Raw genomic sequence first — 15,836 nt, 5'->3', positions numbered from 1 at the left:
CCTTGTAAATGGCCCATGCTTACAATTTATTTTAAAAGAAATTTTAGGTTTTTGGAACTACCCAAAGATATTTTTTAAAAACATTAGGTGATAGGTAACTAAAACTAAATGGTAAGTTTGGCTAAATTCAGCAAACATTAGGTAACTGTAATGTATAAGGTATTGTGTTTGGTGGACATGAGAGAAAGATGACAAAAACTTGATGTCTGTATTCCTGTGGCTTGTATGCCATTAGCTGACTCAGATAAATTCATAAATAAGTATAATGCAAAGCAGACAATAATAAGTACTATGGCATAGGCATCAACAAAGTGGGAAATTAGCATAGAGAGATTAATCCTGACTGGGAGGATCAAGGAAGTTCTCGTGGAATAGATAGGTTTTGAGTAGAACTTAATTTATTGCTTTCATTCATTCTAGACTGTCTTCTGAAGATTGATGTCTATTTCCTTGAGCTCTTTAATTTTGTTGCCAATTTGGATAAACATGGCACAAATCCAGCAGGGAGGTCCAGATGAAAAAGAAAAGACTACCGCACTGAAAGGTACATACTTAATTTGCTTTTTCAGGAAATTTTCATTGTGCCTAATAAAGGTGTAGGAATATTTAGGTGACCTTCCATTCATTTCAAATCTAAAATAAGAATATAAGTACCTAAAGTATTTGCAATTATTTATATCCCTCACAGCAACTATTACTGCATCTGAGATGTATGTACTCAGTAAATAAATCACGGGATCATGTAATTTTGCATCTATAAGAATTATTAATGCTTTTCTTACTCAATGTCATACATTTAATAATAAAATTAATAAGTTTTTTGAATCAAGGCTAGTGCCTTTACCTTATGTTTTCTGCTTGGAATGTCATACTGGATTAGGGTAATGATCTGTCTGTTTCTGTATTCTGCCTTTGTGGCATTGGCATTACTGATATTTTATGAGAGGTTTATACATGTTAACGTTTTGGAAGGAATCTGCGTTAGACATTGTTATGGAAATTTGAATCCTAGAATTAAAAAATAAATCTGCTATCTAAAGTAATTTGACTTCGAAAAGAAGTGTCTGTTGTTGAATTGTGAGATAGCTATGGGCACTGAGACCTTTAGGGTCAGGAAGCTGAGCAGAAAGTAGCAAAAGAGGCTGAAAAGTAATTTTTAGTAAAATAGGTTAAGAATCAGGAACAAGGGAGAGATCCCGAATACCAAATGAAAAAATTAAATGGGAGTAATTAATTAAAGTCATATCTGGTGATGGGTCAGATTAGATGAGAACTGAGAATTTACTTTTGCCTTTGACCATGTGGAGGTCATTTGACCTTCACAAAGAGCTGTTTCAATAAATAGAAATGAAAGCCTGATTGGAGAACTTTCAGCAGAGAATGGAAAGAGAGGAATTGGAGACAGCTGTAAACAACCCTATAGAAGGTTTTACTGCATGCTTGTATGTTGCTGGGAAGGATCCAGCACGCTCAGAATAATGGACAATTTAGGAGTGAGGGCAAGTAATGTATGTCACAGTTTCTGTCTAAATAGACATGCTGGGTTTCCACCTAGATAGATTTTGTGCATGTTCAGCCTTAATGTGAAAATTTGATCTCCCAAGTTGTGGTTCTGATTTGTACTCCTGCAAGCAGTATGTGAGTTCAGATTGATTTTCTGGATTTTAGAGGTAGTACAGTGATGTTAAAAGAGTAGATAGGTTCTAGAGATAGAACTATCTGGATTCAAATTCAAGGTTTTCCTTCTTAACATGAACAAGTTGCTTAACTTCTCTGGATCTTGTAACTATCTGGATTCAAACTCAAGGTTTTCCTTCTTACCATGGGCAAGTTGCTTAACTTCTCTGAATCTTTCTCTTCATCTGTACTATAGGAATAATAATGCTGGGTACAAATGGGGGTGTAAGGGTTAAGGGAGGAGTAAACTGGAAATATTAGAAAATAAAATGGCAAATGCATAGTAAAGTATATTTTAGAACAAGTTAGCAAACTGATTTGTTCTAAACTTAACAGGAAGACAGTTTTATTCTTGAGTTTATTCAAAACCGAGCTATGATATGTAAAACAGTGAACTAATGATGATCACTCTCTGCTGTTCATTAGAGGATTTCACGTTTACATGGCAAGATGCACTCTTGGAGGTGATTTAACTTTTCCCTAATTGAAAAGTGCTTCAGATAAGGCATAGATGGTAGAAAAATCTCATAAAAATATATTAGTGGTGAGAAAAATGTCAGGTACAACTCAAGATGAGCGGGGTTAAAGCAGTGCATGCTGGAAGAAAGTAGTTTGAATTAGTTTGCTGTAATAATGAAGATGGTAAGGAAGATGGTGATGACTGTTATAATTAAAGGAAGGCATATTATTCACAAGAAAGTTATGTCATCTCTTTTGGAGATGGCAATGAAGATATGCTTGTAAAGAATTCTTGCATTTCTTAAAAATATTACTTTTTCCCTTGGCCAGTTTTACAGGGTTTTAGTTTACTGCCTCTTACTGATTTGTTGACCCATTTTACCTGGATTTCTGAAAATATGTTCTGTATCTAGTCCTCTTAGTTCGTATGTATTAGTTTTTATTTACCACCGCCCTCTAACCCCAGGCCCCTTCAAAAATGCCTGCATTTTGCTATAGTGCCTTTATTAAAAATTATTCTGGACATTAATGTTGAGTTGTTACGATCATTATTTGTCATAGCCTAATGGTAACATCTTATATGGCTAATAGTACATCAAAACCAAGATATTGGTACAGTACTGTTAACTAAAACACGGTCATTATTCAATTTCCATTAGGTTTTGTATGCAGTAATTTGTGTGTGTGTGTGTGTGAGTGTGTTTGGAGTTCTGTGCAATTCGATCCTATGTATTGTGTTGTGCAACCATGACCACAAACATTCAAGATACAGAAGTGTTCCACCACTAGCAAGTCCCTTCTGTTACCCATTTGTAGGAATGTCCCCAACTGCCAACTTCATCTCTGTCTCCTGGCAATCATTAATCTGTTCTCCATCCCTTTAGTTTTGTCATTTTATAGATGTTATAGAAATGGAATCATAAGGTATGTAATTTTTTGAGATTGGCTTTCTTCAATAAGTATAATGCCTTTGAGATCCATCCAAGTTTTTGTAAATATCAGTAGTTCATTTGTGTTTATTACCGATGAGTAATATTCCATTGTCTAGATATGCCATTTTGTTTAACCATTGACCCATTGTAGGGCATTTGGATTGATTCCAGTTTTTGATTATTAGAAATAAATTTACTGTGTGTATTCATGTATAAGTTTTTATGTGAACATAAGTTTTCATATCTCTGGGTTAAATGCCCAAGAATGTGATTGCTGGGTCATATGGTAATTGCATTTCTAACTTTATAAGACAATACCAAATTATTTTCCAGAGTGGCTGTACCATTTTACATTCCCACCAGTCACGTATGAAAGAACCACTTTCTCTACATCCTCCTCAGCATTTGGTATTATTACTATGTTTTAGTTTTAGCCATTTTATTAGGTACATAGTGATATCTCACTAGTGATGTTGACCATACATCTTTTCATGTGCTTATTTGCCATCTATACCTTGTCTCTGGTAAAATACCTATTCGTATTTTTTGTCCATTTTCTAAATGGAGTTTTTAAAACTATTGAGTTTTGATAGTTCTTTATATCTTCTAGATACAAGTCTCTATTGGATATATTCTTTGTGAATATTTTCTCTCAGTTTGTAGCTTGTCTTTCACCCTCTTAACAGGTCTTTCGTAGGGCAAACATTTTTAATTCTGATGAAGTCCTGTTTATCAATTTTTTCTTTTATAAACTGTGCATTTAGTGTCATGTCAAAGAACTCTTTCCCTAGTCCTAGTTTATGAAGGTTTTCTCCTATGCATTCTTCTAAAAGTTTTGTTTTATATTTCACATTTAAATTAATGATCTATTTTCAGTTAATTTTTAAACATATATTAGTAGGTTTCGTTTCATTGCTGAATTTTATTCTGTTGAATGAATAAACTATATTTTACTTATCCATTTGCCAAATGTTAGACATTTGTGTTGTTTCCAGGGTTGGGTGATTATGAATACAGTCTTTAAAAACATTCATCAACAGGTTTTTATGTGGATATTTATTTTCATTTGTCCTGAGTTGATACCTAGGGGGAGGACTGCTGGGTAATATGGTACGTCTACAGTAACTTTGTAAGAACTAGAACACCACTTTTCAAGGTACCTGTATTATTTTTCACTACTACCAATAATGTATGAGAGTTCTCTTAGTTTGGCATCTTTATCAGCAATTAATATTGACAGGTTTGTTGACTTTTTTTCTCATTGTCACAGGTTTTTGTTTCTATGTGGTTTAATTTGCATTTTCCTAATGGTGAATTATATGCCATATATACATCTTTCTTGGTAAAGTCTAGAATTTTGCCCCCTTTTTTTGTTTGTGTTCTTATTGTTGAGTTTTAGAAGTTGTTCATATGTTCTGAATACAACTTCTTTTTAAGATATGTGATTAGTAAACATTCCCAGTCTTTGGATTGTCTTTTCATTCTCTTTGTTTTATTGATATGTGTTTGTACATACTTATGGGGTACATGTGATATTTTGTTATATGCATAGAATGTGTAATGTTCAAGTTAGGATATTTCCATTATCCATTGCCCCAAGTGTTTATGATTTCTATGTGTTGGGAACATTTTAAGTCCTCTCTTCTAGCTATCTTGAAATATATAATACTTTGTTGTTAACTTTAATCACCCTATATGCTATTGAACATTAGAACTTATCCCTTCTATCTAACTGTATGTTTCTACCCATTAAAAAAACTCTCTTCATTGTTTCCTTCTGTGCACCATCACCCACACACTTCTCTGATAGCTATCATTCTACTCCCTACTTCCATGAGATCAACTTTTTTATCTCTCACATGTGAGTGAGAACATGCACTGTGTCTTTCTGTACCTGACTTATTTCACTTAACACAGTAACTTCCAGTTCCATCCATCTTGCTACAAATGACATGATTTTATTCTTCTTATGGATGTATAGTTTTCCTTTTTGTATATATATATCACATTTCTTATGGTCAAATAGTATTCCATTGTGTATATTATATCACATTTTCTTTATCCATTCATCTGTTGATGGACTCTTAGGTTGATTCCATATCACTGCTATTGTGAATAATGCTGCAATAAACATGCAATGCAATTATCCTTTAGATATACTGATTCCTTTTCTGTGAATACATACCTAGTAGTGCACATGCTGGCTTGTATGGTAGTTCCATTTGTAGTATTTTGAGAAATGCCCATACTGTTTTCCATGGAGGTTATACAGATTTACATTCTTAACAACAGTGTATAAGAATTCCCTTTTCTCTACAGCCTCATCAGCTTCTGTTATTTTTTGTCTTTTTAATAATAGCCATTCTAACTGGGGTGAGAGGATATCTAATTGTGGTTTTAGCTTGCATTTCCCTAATGATTAGTGAAATTGAGTGTTTTTTAACATACCTATTGGCCATTTGTATGCCTTCTTTTTAGAAATGTTTATTTATGTCCTTTGCCCACGTTTTAATGGGATTATTTTTTGTTTTTTACTGCTGAATTGTTTGATTTCCTTGTGTATTCTGGATTATCAATACTTTGTTGGATAAATAGTTTGTGAATATTTTCTCCCATGCAATAGTTTGTCTCTTCATTCTGTTAATTGTTTTCTTTGCTGTGTAGGAGCTGTTTAGTTTAATGTAGTCCCATTTGTCTTTTTTTGTTAATGCTTTCTCAAAAGGCTTTAACCATAAAAATCTTTGCCTAGACCAGTGTCCTGAAATGTTTCCCCTGTGTTTCATTCTACTAGCTTTGTAATTTCAGGTCTTACATTTAAATCTTTAATCCATCTTGAGTTGATTTTTATAGATGAATGATGGGGCTCCAGTTTCATTCTTCTACGTATAGATATTTAGTTTTTCCAGAATCATTTACTTAAGAGGGTGTTCTTTCCCCAGTGTATAGTCTTGGTGCCTTTGTTGAAAATCAGTTGACTGTAAATATGTGGATTTATTTCTGGGTTCTCTATACTGCTATTCTGTTCCATTAGTCTATCTATCTATCTATCTATCTATCTATCTATCTATCTATCTATCTATCTTTTTAAGACAGAGTTTCACTATTGTTGCCGAGGCTGGAGTGCAATGGCACGATCTCGGCTCACTGCAACCTCTGCCTCCTGGGTTCAAGCGATTCTCTAGTCTCAGCCTCCTGAGTAGCTGGGATTACAGGTGCCCACCACCACACCTGGCTCCTTTTTTTTTTTTTTTTTTTTTTTGTATTTTTAGTAGAGACGGGGTTTCACCATGTATGCCAGGCTGGTTGGTCTTGAACTCCTGACCTCAAGTTGAGAGACAGGACTAGCTGGATTTCCTAGGCCTACTAAGAATTCCTAAGCCTAGCTGGGGAAGGTGACTGCACCCACTTTTAAACATGGGGCTTATAACTTAGCTCACACCCGACCAATCAGGTAGTAAAGAGGGCTCACTAAAATACAAATTAGGCTAAAGGCAGGAGGTAAAGAAATAGTCAAATCATATATTGCCTGAGAGCACAGGGGGAGGGACAGTGATCTGGATATAAACCCAGGCATTCGAACTGGCAGTGGCAACCCCCTTTGGGTCCCCTCCCATTTTATGGGAGCTCTGTTTTCACTCTATTAAATCTTGCAACTGCATACTCTTCTGGTCCATGTTTGTTACTGCTCGAGCTGAGCTTTCGCTCCCCATCCACCACTGCTGTTTGCCACCTTCGCAGACCTGCCACTGACTTCCACCCCTCCGGATCTGGCAGGTGTCCGTTGTGCTCCTGATCCAGCAAGGTGCCCATTGCCGCTCCCAATTGGGCTAGAGGCTCGCCATTGTTCCTGCATGGCTAAGTGCCCAGGTTTGTCCTAATTGAGCTGAACACTAGTTGCTGGGTTCCACAGCTTCTAATAGAGCTATAACACTCACCGCATGGCCCAAGGTTCCATTCCTTGGAATCCGTGAGGCCAGGAACCCCAGGTCAGAGAACAAAAGGCTTGCTGCCATGTTGGGAGTAGCCCACCACCATCTTGGGAGCTGTAAGAAAAAAGACCTGCCGGTAACAAAGTGATCCGCACACTTCGGCCTCCCAAAGTGCTGGGATTACAGGCATGAGCCACTGTGCCTGGCCTTACAAGTCTTTTATTTTTAAAATAATAATATTATGCTGTTTTGGTTACTGTAACTTTGTAATGTATTTCGAAGTCAGGTTAGCATGATCTCTCCAGCTGTGTTCCTTTTGCTCACATTGTTTTGGCTATTTGAGCTCTTTTTTGTTTCCATTTGAATTTAGTGTTTTTTGTTTTTCTCTATTTCTGTGAGGAATGTCATTGGTATTTTAAAAGGGATTGCGTTGAATCTGTAGGTTGCTTTGAGCAGTATGGTCATTGAATTATTCCAGTCTATGAGCATGGAATGTCTTTCCATTTGTCTGTGTCCTCTTCAATTTCTCTCATTAATGTTTTATAGTTTTCCTTGTAGAGGTTTTTCACCTCTTTGGTTAAATTTATTCCTAGGTATTTTTCTTATAGCTGTTGTAAATGAGTTTGCCTTTTTGATCACTTTCTCAGCTCATTTATTATTGGAATTTAGAAACACTAATGATTTTTCTATGTTGATTCTATATACTGTTATTTATTGAATTTATAAGAGCTACAAGTTTATTGGTGGAGTCTTTAGGTTTTTCTATATATAAGATTATATCAGATGCAAAAGGACAATTTGACTTCTTTTCCAATTTGGATGCTTTTTATTTTGTTCTCTTGCCTGATTTTTCTGAAAAGGACATTCTGTACCATGCTGAATAGGAGTAGTGAAAGTGGGCATCCTTGTGTTGTTCCAGTTTTTAGAGGAAAAGCTTTCAACTTTTCTCCATTCATTATGATGTTTGTTGTGAGTTTGTTACATATGACCTTTATTATGTTGAGATATATTTTTTCAATGCCTACTTTGTTGAGAGTGTTTTTATCAGGGAGGTTGTTGAATTTTATCAAATGCTTTCACTGCATCTACTGAGATGATCATATGGTTTTTGTTCTTCATTCTGTTGATGTGCTGTATCACACTAATTGATTTGCATATGTTGAACCATCCTTGCATTTCTAGGTAAATCCTACTTGATAATGATGTGTTACCTTTTTGATGTGCTGTTGAATCTGGTTTATTGTTATTTTATTGAGTAATTTTACACCTATGTTTGTCAGGAATATTGGCCCGAAGTTTTCTTTTTTTGTTGCAATCTTGTCTGGTTTTGATATCAAGGTAATTCTAGCCTTATAAAATGAGTTAAGGAGAGTTCCGTTCCCTCCTCTTCATTTTTTTGGAATAGTTTGAGGAGAAATTGTGTTAGTTTTTCTTTAGACATTTGGTAGAATTCAGTAGTAAAGCCATATGGTCCTGAACTTTTCTTTGTTGGGAGACTTTTTATTACTATTTGATCTCATTACTCACAACTGGTCTGTTCAGGTTTTCTATTTCTTCCTGATTCAATCTTGGTAGATTTTATTTGTCCAGGAATTTATTCACTTCCTGTAGGTTTTCCAGCTTGTACAGTTGTTTATAATAGTCTGTTATGACCTTTTCTATTACTGTGGTAATTGTATTGATTCCTTTATCATTACTGATTTTATCTGGGTCTCCTGGGTTTTTATGTGTGTGTGTGTGTGTGTGTGTGTGTGTGTGTGTGTGTGTGTGCTTAGTCTGGCAAGCTGTTTAGAAATTTATCTTTTTCAAAAAAGTTACCTTTTATTTTGTTGATTTTTTTATCTGTATTTCATATAATTCTGCTCTTTATTATTTTATCCTTTCTAATTTTGGGTTTGGTTTTTTCTTCTCTTCATTGAGGTGCATCCTTAGATTATTTGAAATCTTTCTACTTTTTTGATGTAGTCATTTATTGCTGTATCGTTTCCTTTTACCCTTGCGTTTTCTGTTTTGCGTAGGTTTTGGTATGTCGTGTTTGGTTTTCATTTGCTTCAAGGCAGTCTTTATTTTTTCATAATTTCTTCCTTGACTCAGTGCTCATTCAGAAGCAAGTTTAGTTTCCATGTATTTGTACATTTTCTGAAGTTCTTCTTTTTATTGATTTCATACATGATATGATTTTTTTTTGGTAAAATTTGTTGAGTCTTGTTTTGTGGCCTAACATATGGTCTATCCTGGAGAATGCTCCATGTGTTGATATGAAGAAAATGTATACTCTGCAGCTCTTGGATGAAATGTTCTGTAAATGTCTGTTTGGTCCATTTGATCTAATGTGTAGTTTAAATCTGTTTCTTTGTTAATATTCTGCCTAGATGATCTGTCTAATGCTGAGAGTGAAGAATTAAAGTCCCCAACTATTATTTTATTGGAATCTATCTTTCTCTTTAGATCTAATAATGTTTGCTTTATATGTCTGTATGCTCCAGTGTTGAGTGCATATATGTTTAGAATTGTTATATTCTATTGCTGAATTGATTCCTTTATCATTATATAATGACCTTCTTAGTCTCTTTTTACTGCTTTTGACTTAAATTCTGCTTTATCTGATATAAATATAGCTACTCCTGCTCACTTTTGGTTTTCGTTTGCATGGAATGTCTTTCTCTTTTTCTTTTTTTGGAGACAGGGTCTCACTGTGTCACCCAGGCTGGAGTGCAGTAATATGATCACAGCTCACTGCAACATCTACCTCCTGGGCTCAAGCGATCCTCCCACCTCAGCCTCTTGAGTATCTGGGACTACAGGCATGTGCCACCATCCCCGACTAATTTGTATATTTTTTGGAGATATGGGGTTTCACCATGTAGGCCAGGCTAGTCACAAACTCCTGAGCTCAAGTGATCTGCCTGCCTCAGCCCCCCAAAGTGCTGAGATTACAGGCGTGAGCCACTGTGCCCAGTCAGAATGTCTTTCTCCATCCCTGTTCTTTCAGTTTATGTGTCTTTACAGATAAGATGAGTGTTTTGTAGTCAGCATGTAGTTGGGCCATGTTTTAAAATCCATTCAGCAAGTCTCTGTCTTTTATTGAAAGTTTAATTCATTTATATTAAAGGTTATTATTGATATGCGAGGGCTTATTTCTAAAATTTTATTTATTGATTCTTATTGCATTAATATCCTTTGTTTTTTTCTTTTTCTCTTATTGTTTATTGTTGTAGTTTGGTTGTTTTCTATAGTGGTAACATTTGAGTTCTTTCCCTTCGAATTTGTGTGTTTCCTCTAACAGTGAGTTTTATTCTGTTGTGCCTTTACATGGTGCTAGATATCTTCCCTTTGCATCCAGGTTTAAGATTCCCTTAAGCAGTTCTCTTAGATCTGGTCTAGTAGTGATGAATTCTCTGTTTTTGCTTGTTTGGGAAAGACTTCATTTCTTCTTCACTTATGAAGGAAAACTTTTCTGGATATAGCATCCTTGGCTGGCAGTTTTCTCTCTTTCGGCACTTTGAATATGTTATCCCATTTCGTCTTGGCCCGTAAGGTTCTGTTGAGCAATGTGCTATTAGTCTGATAGAAGTTCCCTTCTAAGTGAGTGGCTACTGTCCTTGTGCTGTTTTTAGAATTCTTTCTTTGACTTCTGACAGTTTGACTATAATATGTGATGGAGAAGATCTTTTTACATTGTATTTGATTGGGGATTTATGTGCTTCTTGTATCTGGAAGCCTAAATCTCTTTCTAGACGTTGAAAGTTTTTTAGCTATTTATTAAATAGGGTTTCTAACCCTTTTGTTTTCTCTTTGCCTTCTGGGACACCACAAATTCAAGTATTTTATAGCTTTATGGTATTCCATATATCACATAGCCCTTGCTCATTGTTTTTTCTTTATTTTTTGTCTGATTGAGCTATTTCAAAAGACCTGTCTTTGTGTTCTGAAATGCATTGGTCTGCTTGATCTAGCCTGTTATTGAAGCTTTTCAATATGTTTCATCTTTCATTCAGTGAAATCTTCAGTTCCAGGATTTCTGATTGGTTCTTTTTTTATATCTGTCCATCTTTTTGGTAAATTTCTCATTCATATCCTGAGTTGTTTTTCTGATTTCTTTTTACTGCTTTTTTGTATTCCCTTGTATCTTACTGAGCTTCTTTAAAATAATTTTAAATTCTTTTTCTGGGATTTCATAAATTTCTCTTTGATTGGAATCTGTTGCCAGAGAGTTATTGTGCTCCTTTTGAAGTGTCCTTGTTTTTTTAATGTTTCTTATATATTTACATTGATATCTGGGTATCTGGTGTGAGAATCAACTCTTCCAATTTTTTGAATTTGCTATCATAATGGATGATTTTTTCTTAAAATGTATCTATGGTGTTGGTTGAGTAGAGTACTTTGGCTTTGATTCTGGGTGTGTGCAGTCATGTAATTTCTGTATGATTTTTTTCAGCTGTAAACCTCATTAGTGGTGTCAGTGGCTTAGAGTGCAGTTGTTAGTGGAGGCTGTGGTGAGGTTTTGCTGGGGACAGGGATACCAGGTAGGCTATTCCTTGGGCTCTAGTTTTGGCAGCACAGGCACAGCCTGCCTGTCCTTAGGTTCCAGGGAGGCATATGCTGGCACTGGTGTTGGGTAGTCTATTGCAGTTGATTGTTGGATCTCTAGGTGGCTTACTTGTGTGCCTATAGTGGCACCAGTGGGTCAGGCCAGTGGATGGGTTCTTGGGTCTCTGAACAGTGGGTATGGTATGGGCTATGGTAGTAGCAGTAGTAGGACTAACCTCTGAGTTCTGAGCAGTTCACGATTTTGTTGATGGTAGGTACGACAGGCTAGGCAGGACAGTGCCCAGGCCTGCAGGTGGCATGTGTGAGGTTTATGACTGTGTTGGTAGCAGCAATTGGATGGGCCCATTCTGAGGCCCCTAGGAGGAGTACTTAGGTGACAGTGGTGGTGGACTGGTGCTTGGCAATCCCCAGGCCCCTGGATGGCTTGCTCAGGCTCTTGCTAGGGGGTGTGCCAGGCCAGGTGGACCTGCCCTCTTCCCACCACCTGTGGTACATGTAGACCTTGGCTCTGGTAGGCGGGGGTGGGGTTATTTCTAGGCCCCTCAGTGGAATGCTCAAGTATGGGCGGCAGTGACTGCACCACCGCCCTATGCTAGGGAGGGTGAAGTTGCTTTCAGTGGCTCTAGCCATAGATAAATGGTTGGGATTGCATGCTTTGCTTGTGCTTTGGCCCCAGTGGCAGCAGCCTGCTGTGGGGCTGCCATGCTTAGGGGAGTGTATCCTCAGGACATGTGAAAATGTGCCATGGTTTTGCTGTTTGGGGCAATGGGGTTGCTGCTAATGGCTTGCATTTTTGCCCAGGTGGCATTAGCCAGGCTGCAGCAGTCGCTGTAGGCAGGTGATGTCAGTGGGGATCCAGTGATGTGGAGATGTGGGGCTGTTGGCTCCTGGGGACAGAATGCAGCTCTATAGGGGCTGGGCTCTCAAAATGGCACCTTACCGTAGCTGCTTGGGACTCAGGAGTTGTGTATGGCTCAGCATGAGCTCCTTCTCTAGAGCCATGGCATTGCACAGTCTTCAGGCAGCTTCCTACTTTATTCTCAGGGCCCATGGGGTTTGAGGAGCTCTTGCATGGCTAGGATTGCAGGGGTCTGTGGTGGGAATTTGAACTGCTGGGGGTCTTTCACTTATCCTTTTCCCACACTGGGGAGCCTCTCCAGGCTCCCAGCTGATCTCAGCTAAGCAGGTTGCCTCGTTTCCCTTTTTATCTTTGCTTTTTGGGTGTTTCTTGTCACTTTTCTATTAAATTAGAGTGTTCTATCTTCGACGACCTGTTTGAGATGTGATTATTTACTTGCATTTTGGCTCTTCTTTGTAGATAAGGTGAGTACCAAATGCCTCTAGGCAGCCTTCTTGAAGCACCTCCCCCTCATTTTGAGTTAAATTTTATGTAAGATGTGAGATATAGGTTGAGGTTCATTTTTATCATTTTGATGTCCTCTTATACCAGCACCATTTGTGAAGAAGACTGTCTTTTCATCTTTGAATTGCTTTTTCGTGCCTGTCAACCATGAATTGGGCATATTTGGACAGTTGTTTTTGAGTTCTTTATTTTGTTTCCTGGATCTATGTGTTTACCAATACCACACTCTCTTAATTACAGTAGCTATATAGTAAGTTAACATTGAACAGTGATTTTTCCTTTATTCTTTTAGAAAATTGTTTAGCTATTCTAGATCATTTGCCTTTATGTATGCATTTTAGAATATACTTGTCTATATCTGCAAAAAACTTTACTGCAATTTTGATAGGAATTGTATTTAAACTTTTAGATAAATTTGGGGAGAATTGATATCTATAATATTGAGTCTTCTAATCCATTCACCTGATATGTCTATTTAAATCTTCCTTGATTTCTTTCATTAGCACTCTGTAATTTTCAGCATGTAAATCCTATACCTGTTATTTGCTTTATATGTAAGTATTTTAATTTTTTGGAGTGATTATAAATGGTGTTATGTTTATAATTTCAGTTTACACATGTTTATTGATGGTTTATGAAAATACAATTAAGTTTTGTGTGTTGATATTATATACTGTGATCTTCCTGAACTTGCTTGTTTGTTCTAGGAGATTCTTTTATGGATTCCTTAGGATTTTCTACGTAGACAATCATGTCATTTGCAAATTGGATAATGTTTCTATCAAATCTATGTGCCTTTTATTTTTCTTTGTGGCCTGTGTTGACTAGGACTTTCAGTACTATGTTGAACAAGAATAGTGAGGATGGATATTCTTTCTTGTTTTCAACCTTGAGGGAAAAGGATTGTCTTTCACTATTAAGCATTACGTTAGTTGTAAGTTTTTTGGTAAACGCTCCTTATCATGTTGAAGAAGGCCCTTTTATTCGATGCTTGCTGGGAGGTTTTAATCATGAGTGAGTGTTGATTTTTTTTTCTTTTTTGAGACGGAGTCTTGCTCTGTCGCCCAGGCTGGAGTGCAGTGGCGCAGTCTTGGCTCATTGCAAGCTCTGCCTCCCGGGTTCACACCGTTCTCCTGCCTCAGCCTCCTGAGTAGCTGGGACTACAGGCACCCGCCACCATGCCCGGCTAATTTTTTGTATTTTTAGTAGAGACAGGGTTTCACCGTGTTAGCCAGGATGATCTTGATATCCTGACCTCGTGATCCACCTGTCTCGGCCTCCGAAAGTGCTGGGATTACAGGCGTTAGCCACCGCACCTGGCCGAGTGTTGAATTTTTGTCAAATCCTTTTATTTTTTGCATCAGTTGATAGGGTCATGTATTTTTTTTCTTCTGTAGCCTGTTGAAATAGTGGATTACATGTTGATTTTTTGAATAGTGAACCGTTCTGTCATAAGCCCTGTTTGGTTCTGATGTAATTTGTTTTTATATATTGCTGGTTTTGAATTAATATTTTGTTGAAGATTTTTGTGTCCAGGTCCATTAGAGATATTGAACTGGGGTGTTCTTTTTTTGTACTGTCTTTGTCTAGAATTGTTATCAGGGTAATACTGATCTTCTAACATGATTTAGGAAATATTTACCTCTGTTTTATTTACTGGAAGATATTGTGTAGAATTGGTACCAATTTATTTTTAAGTATTTTGGAGATTTCTCCAGTGAACCTTTCTTGACCTGAAAAATTTTGAGGGGAGATTTTAATTCAAATTCATTTTCTTTAATAGTCATAAGACTATTCGTATTGTTTATTTTATATAGGATGAGTTTTAGTAGTTTGTGGTTTTTAAGGTCTCGGACCATTTCGTCTAATTTGTATAATTTATGTGTATAGGGTTGTCACTAATATTCCCTTCTTGTTCTTTTTTTTTGAGATGGAATCTTGCTCTGTGGCCCTGGCTGGAGTGCAGTGGCGTGATCTTGGCTCACTGCAACCTCCGCCTCCCAGGTTCAAGCGATTCTCCTGCCTAAGCCTCCTGAGTAGCTGAGATTATAGGTGCGCACCACCACACATGACTATTTTTGTATTTTAAGTAGAGACGGGGTCATGTTGGTCAGGCTGGTCTCAAACTCCTAACCTCGTGATCTGCCTGCCTTGGCCTTCCAAAGTGCTGGGATTACAGGCGTGAGCCACTGCGCCTGGCCCCTTTCTTGTTTTTTTAAAGGCTGCAGGGTCTGTAGTGATATCCTCTGTTTTACTATTACCTGTTGAAGAGATTTAACAATGAGAAATAAATGCTTTTATTTAGTCATATAATTTTCTTTTGAAGTACACATTATTTCTTTATGTGGATAATATTTCTGTTTAGTATCATTTGCCTCAACCCAAAGAACTTTTCTTACCATTTTCTTTTGCAGGCCTGCTGGTGATAAATTATTTCAGCTTTTTTGTGTCTGAAAAAAAATCTTTATTTCTTCTATTTGGAAAGATGCTTTTGGTTGGCATAGAATTCCAGGTTGATGGACTTTTTTTTTTTAGTTGAAAAATGTTGCACCATTGTCTTGTTTGCATAGCTCCTGAAAAGTCTTTTGTCATTATTATCTTTGTTCCTTTTTTCTCTATCTGCTTCTAAGATTTTATCTTTTTTTTTTTTTTTTTTTTTTGAGACAGTCTCACTCTGTCACCCAGGCTGGAGTGCAATGGTGTGATCTCGGCTCACTGCAACCTCTGCCTCCCGGGTTCAAGCAATTCTCCTGCCTCGGCCTCCCAAGTACCTGGGATTACAGGCGCGTGCCACCACACCCAGCTAATTTTTATATTTTTGGTAGATGGGGTTTCACCATGTTGGCTGGGCTGGTCTCAAACCCCTGACCTCAAGTGATCTACCCACCTTGGCCTCCCAAAGTGCTGGGATTACAGGTATGAGCA

General features: G+C 37.1%; 1 protein-coding gene across 32 annotated transcripts in view; it reads left to right on the top strand.

The window, feature by feature from the left end:
- The window catches only part of ARB2A (ARB2 cotranscriptional regulator A), a 493,975-nt gene that overhangs the window by 36,510 nt on the left and 441,629 nt on the right, over nucleotides 1-15,836 (top strand). For 17 of the 32 annotated variants that reach the window (NR_028080.1, XR_007058646.1, XM_005272105.5 and 14 more), the window contains exon 2: nucleotides 421-544. The exons of 14 other annotated variants lie outside the window; for them this stretch is intronic. Coding sequence is in view for 15 of the 18 variants with exons in the window: in XM_005272105.5 (XP_005272162.1) it covers nucleotides 439-544 (106 nt within the window). In the remaining 3 variants the exon portion in view is untranslated. Of the gene's footprint in view, nucleotides 1-420; nucleotides 545-15,836 lie in introns of those variants that run through there. One more of the 32 variants, XM_047417815.1, reaches the window with a different exon arrangement.

The sequence above is a fragment of the Homo sapiens genome, chromosome 5 (assembly GCF_000001405.40).
Source record: "Homo sapiens chromosome 5, GRCh38.p14 Primary Assembly".
Lineage (NCBI taxonomy): Eukaryota > Metazoa > Chordata > Mammalia > Primates > Hominidae > Homo > Homo sapiens.
This window is presented reverse-complemented; position numbering and strand designations above follow the sequence as displayed.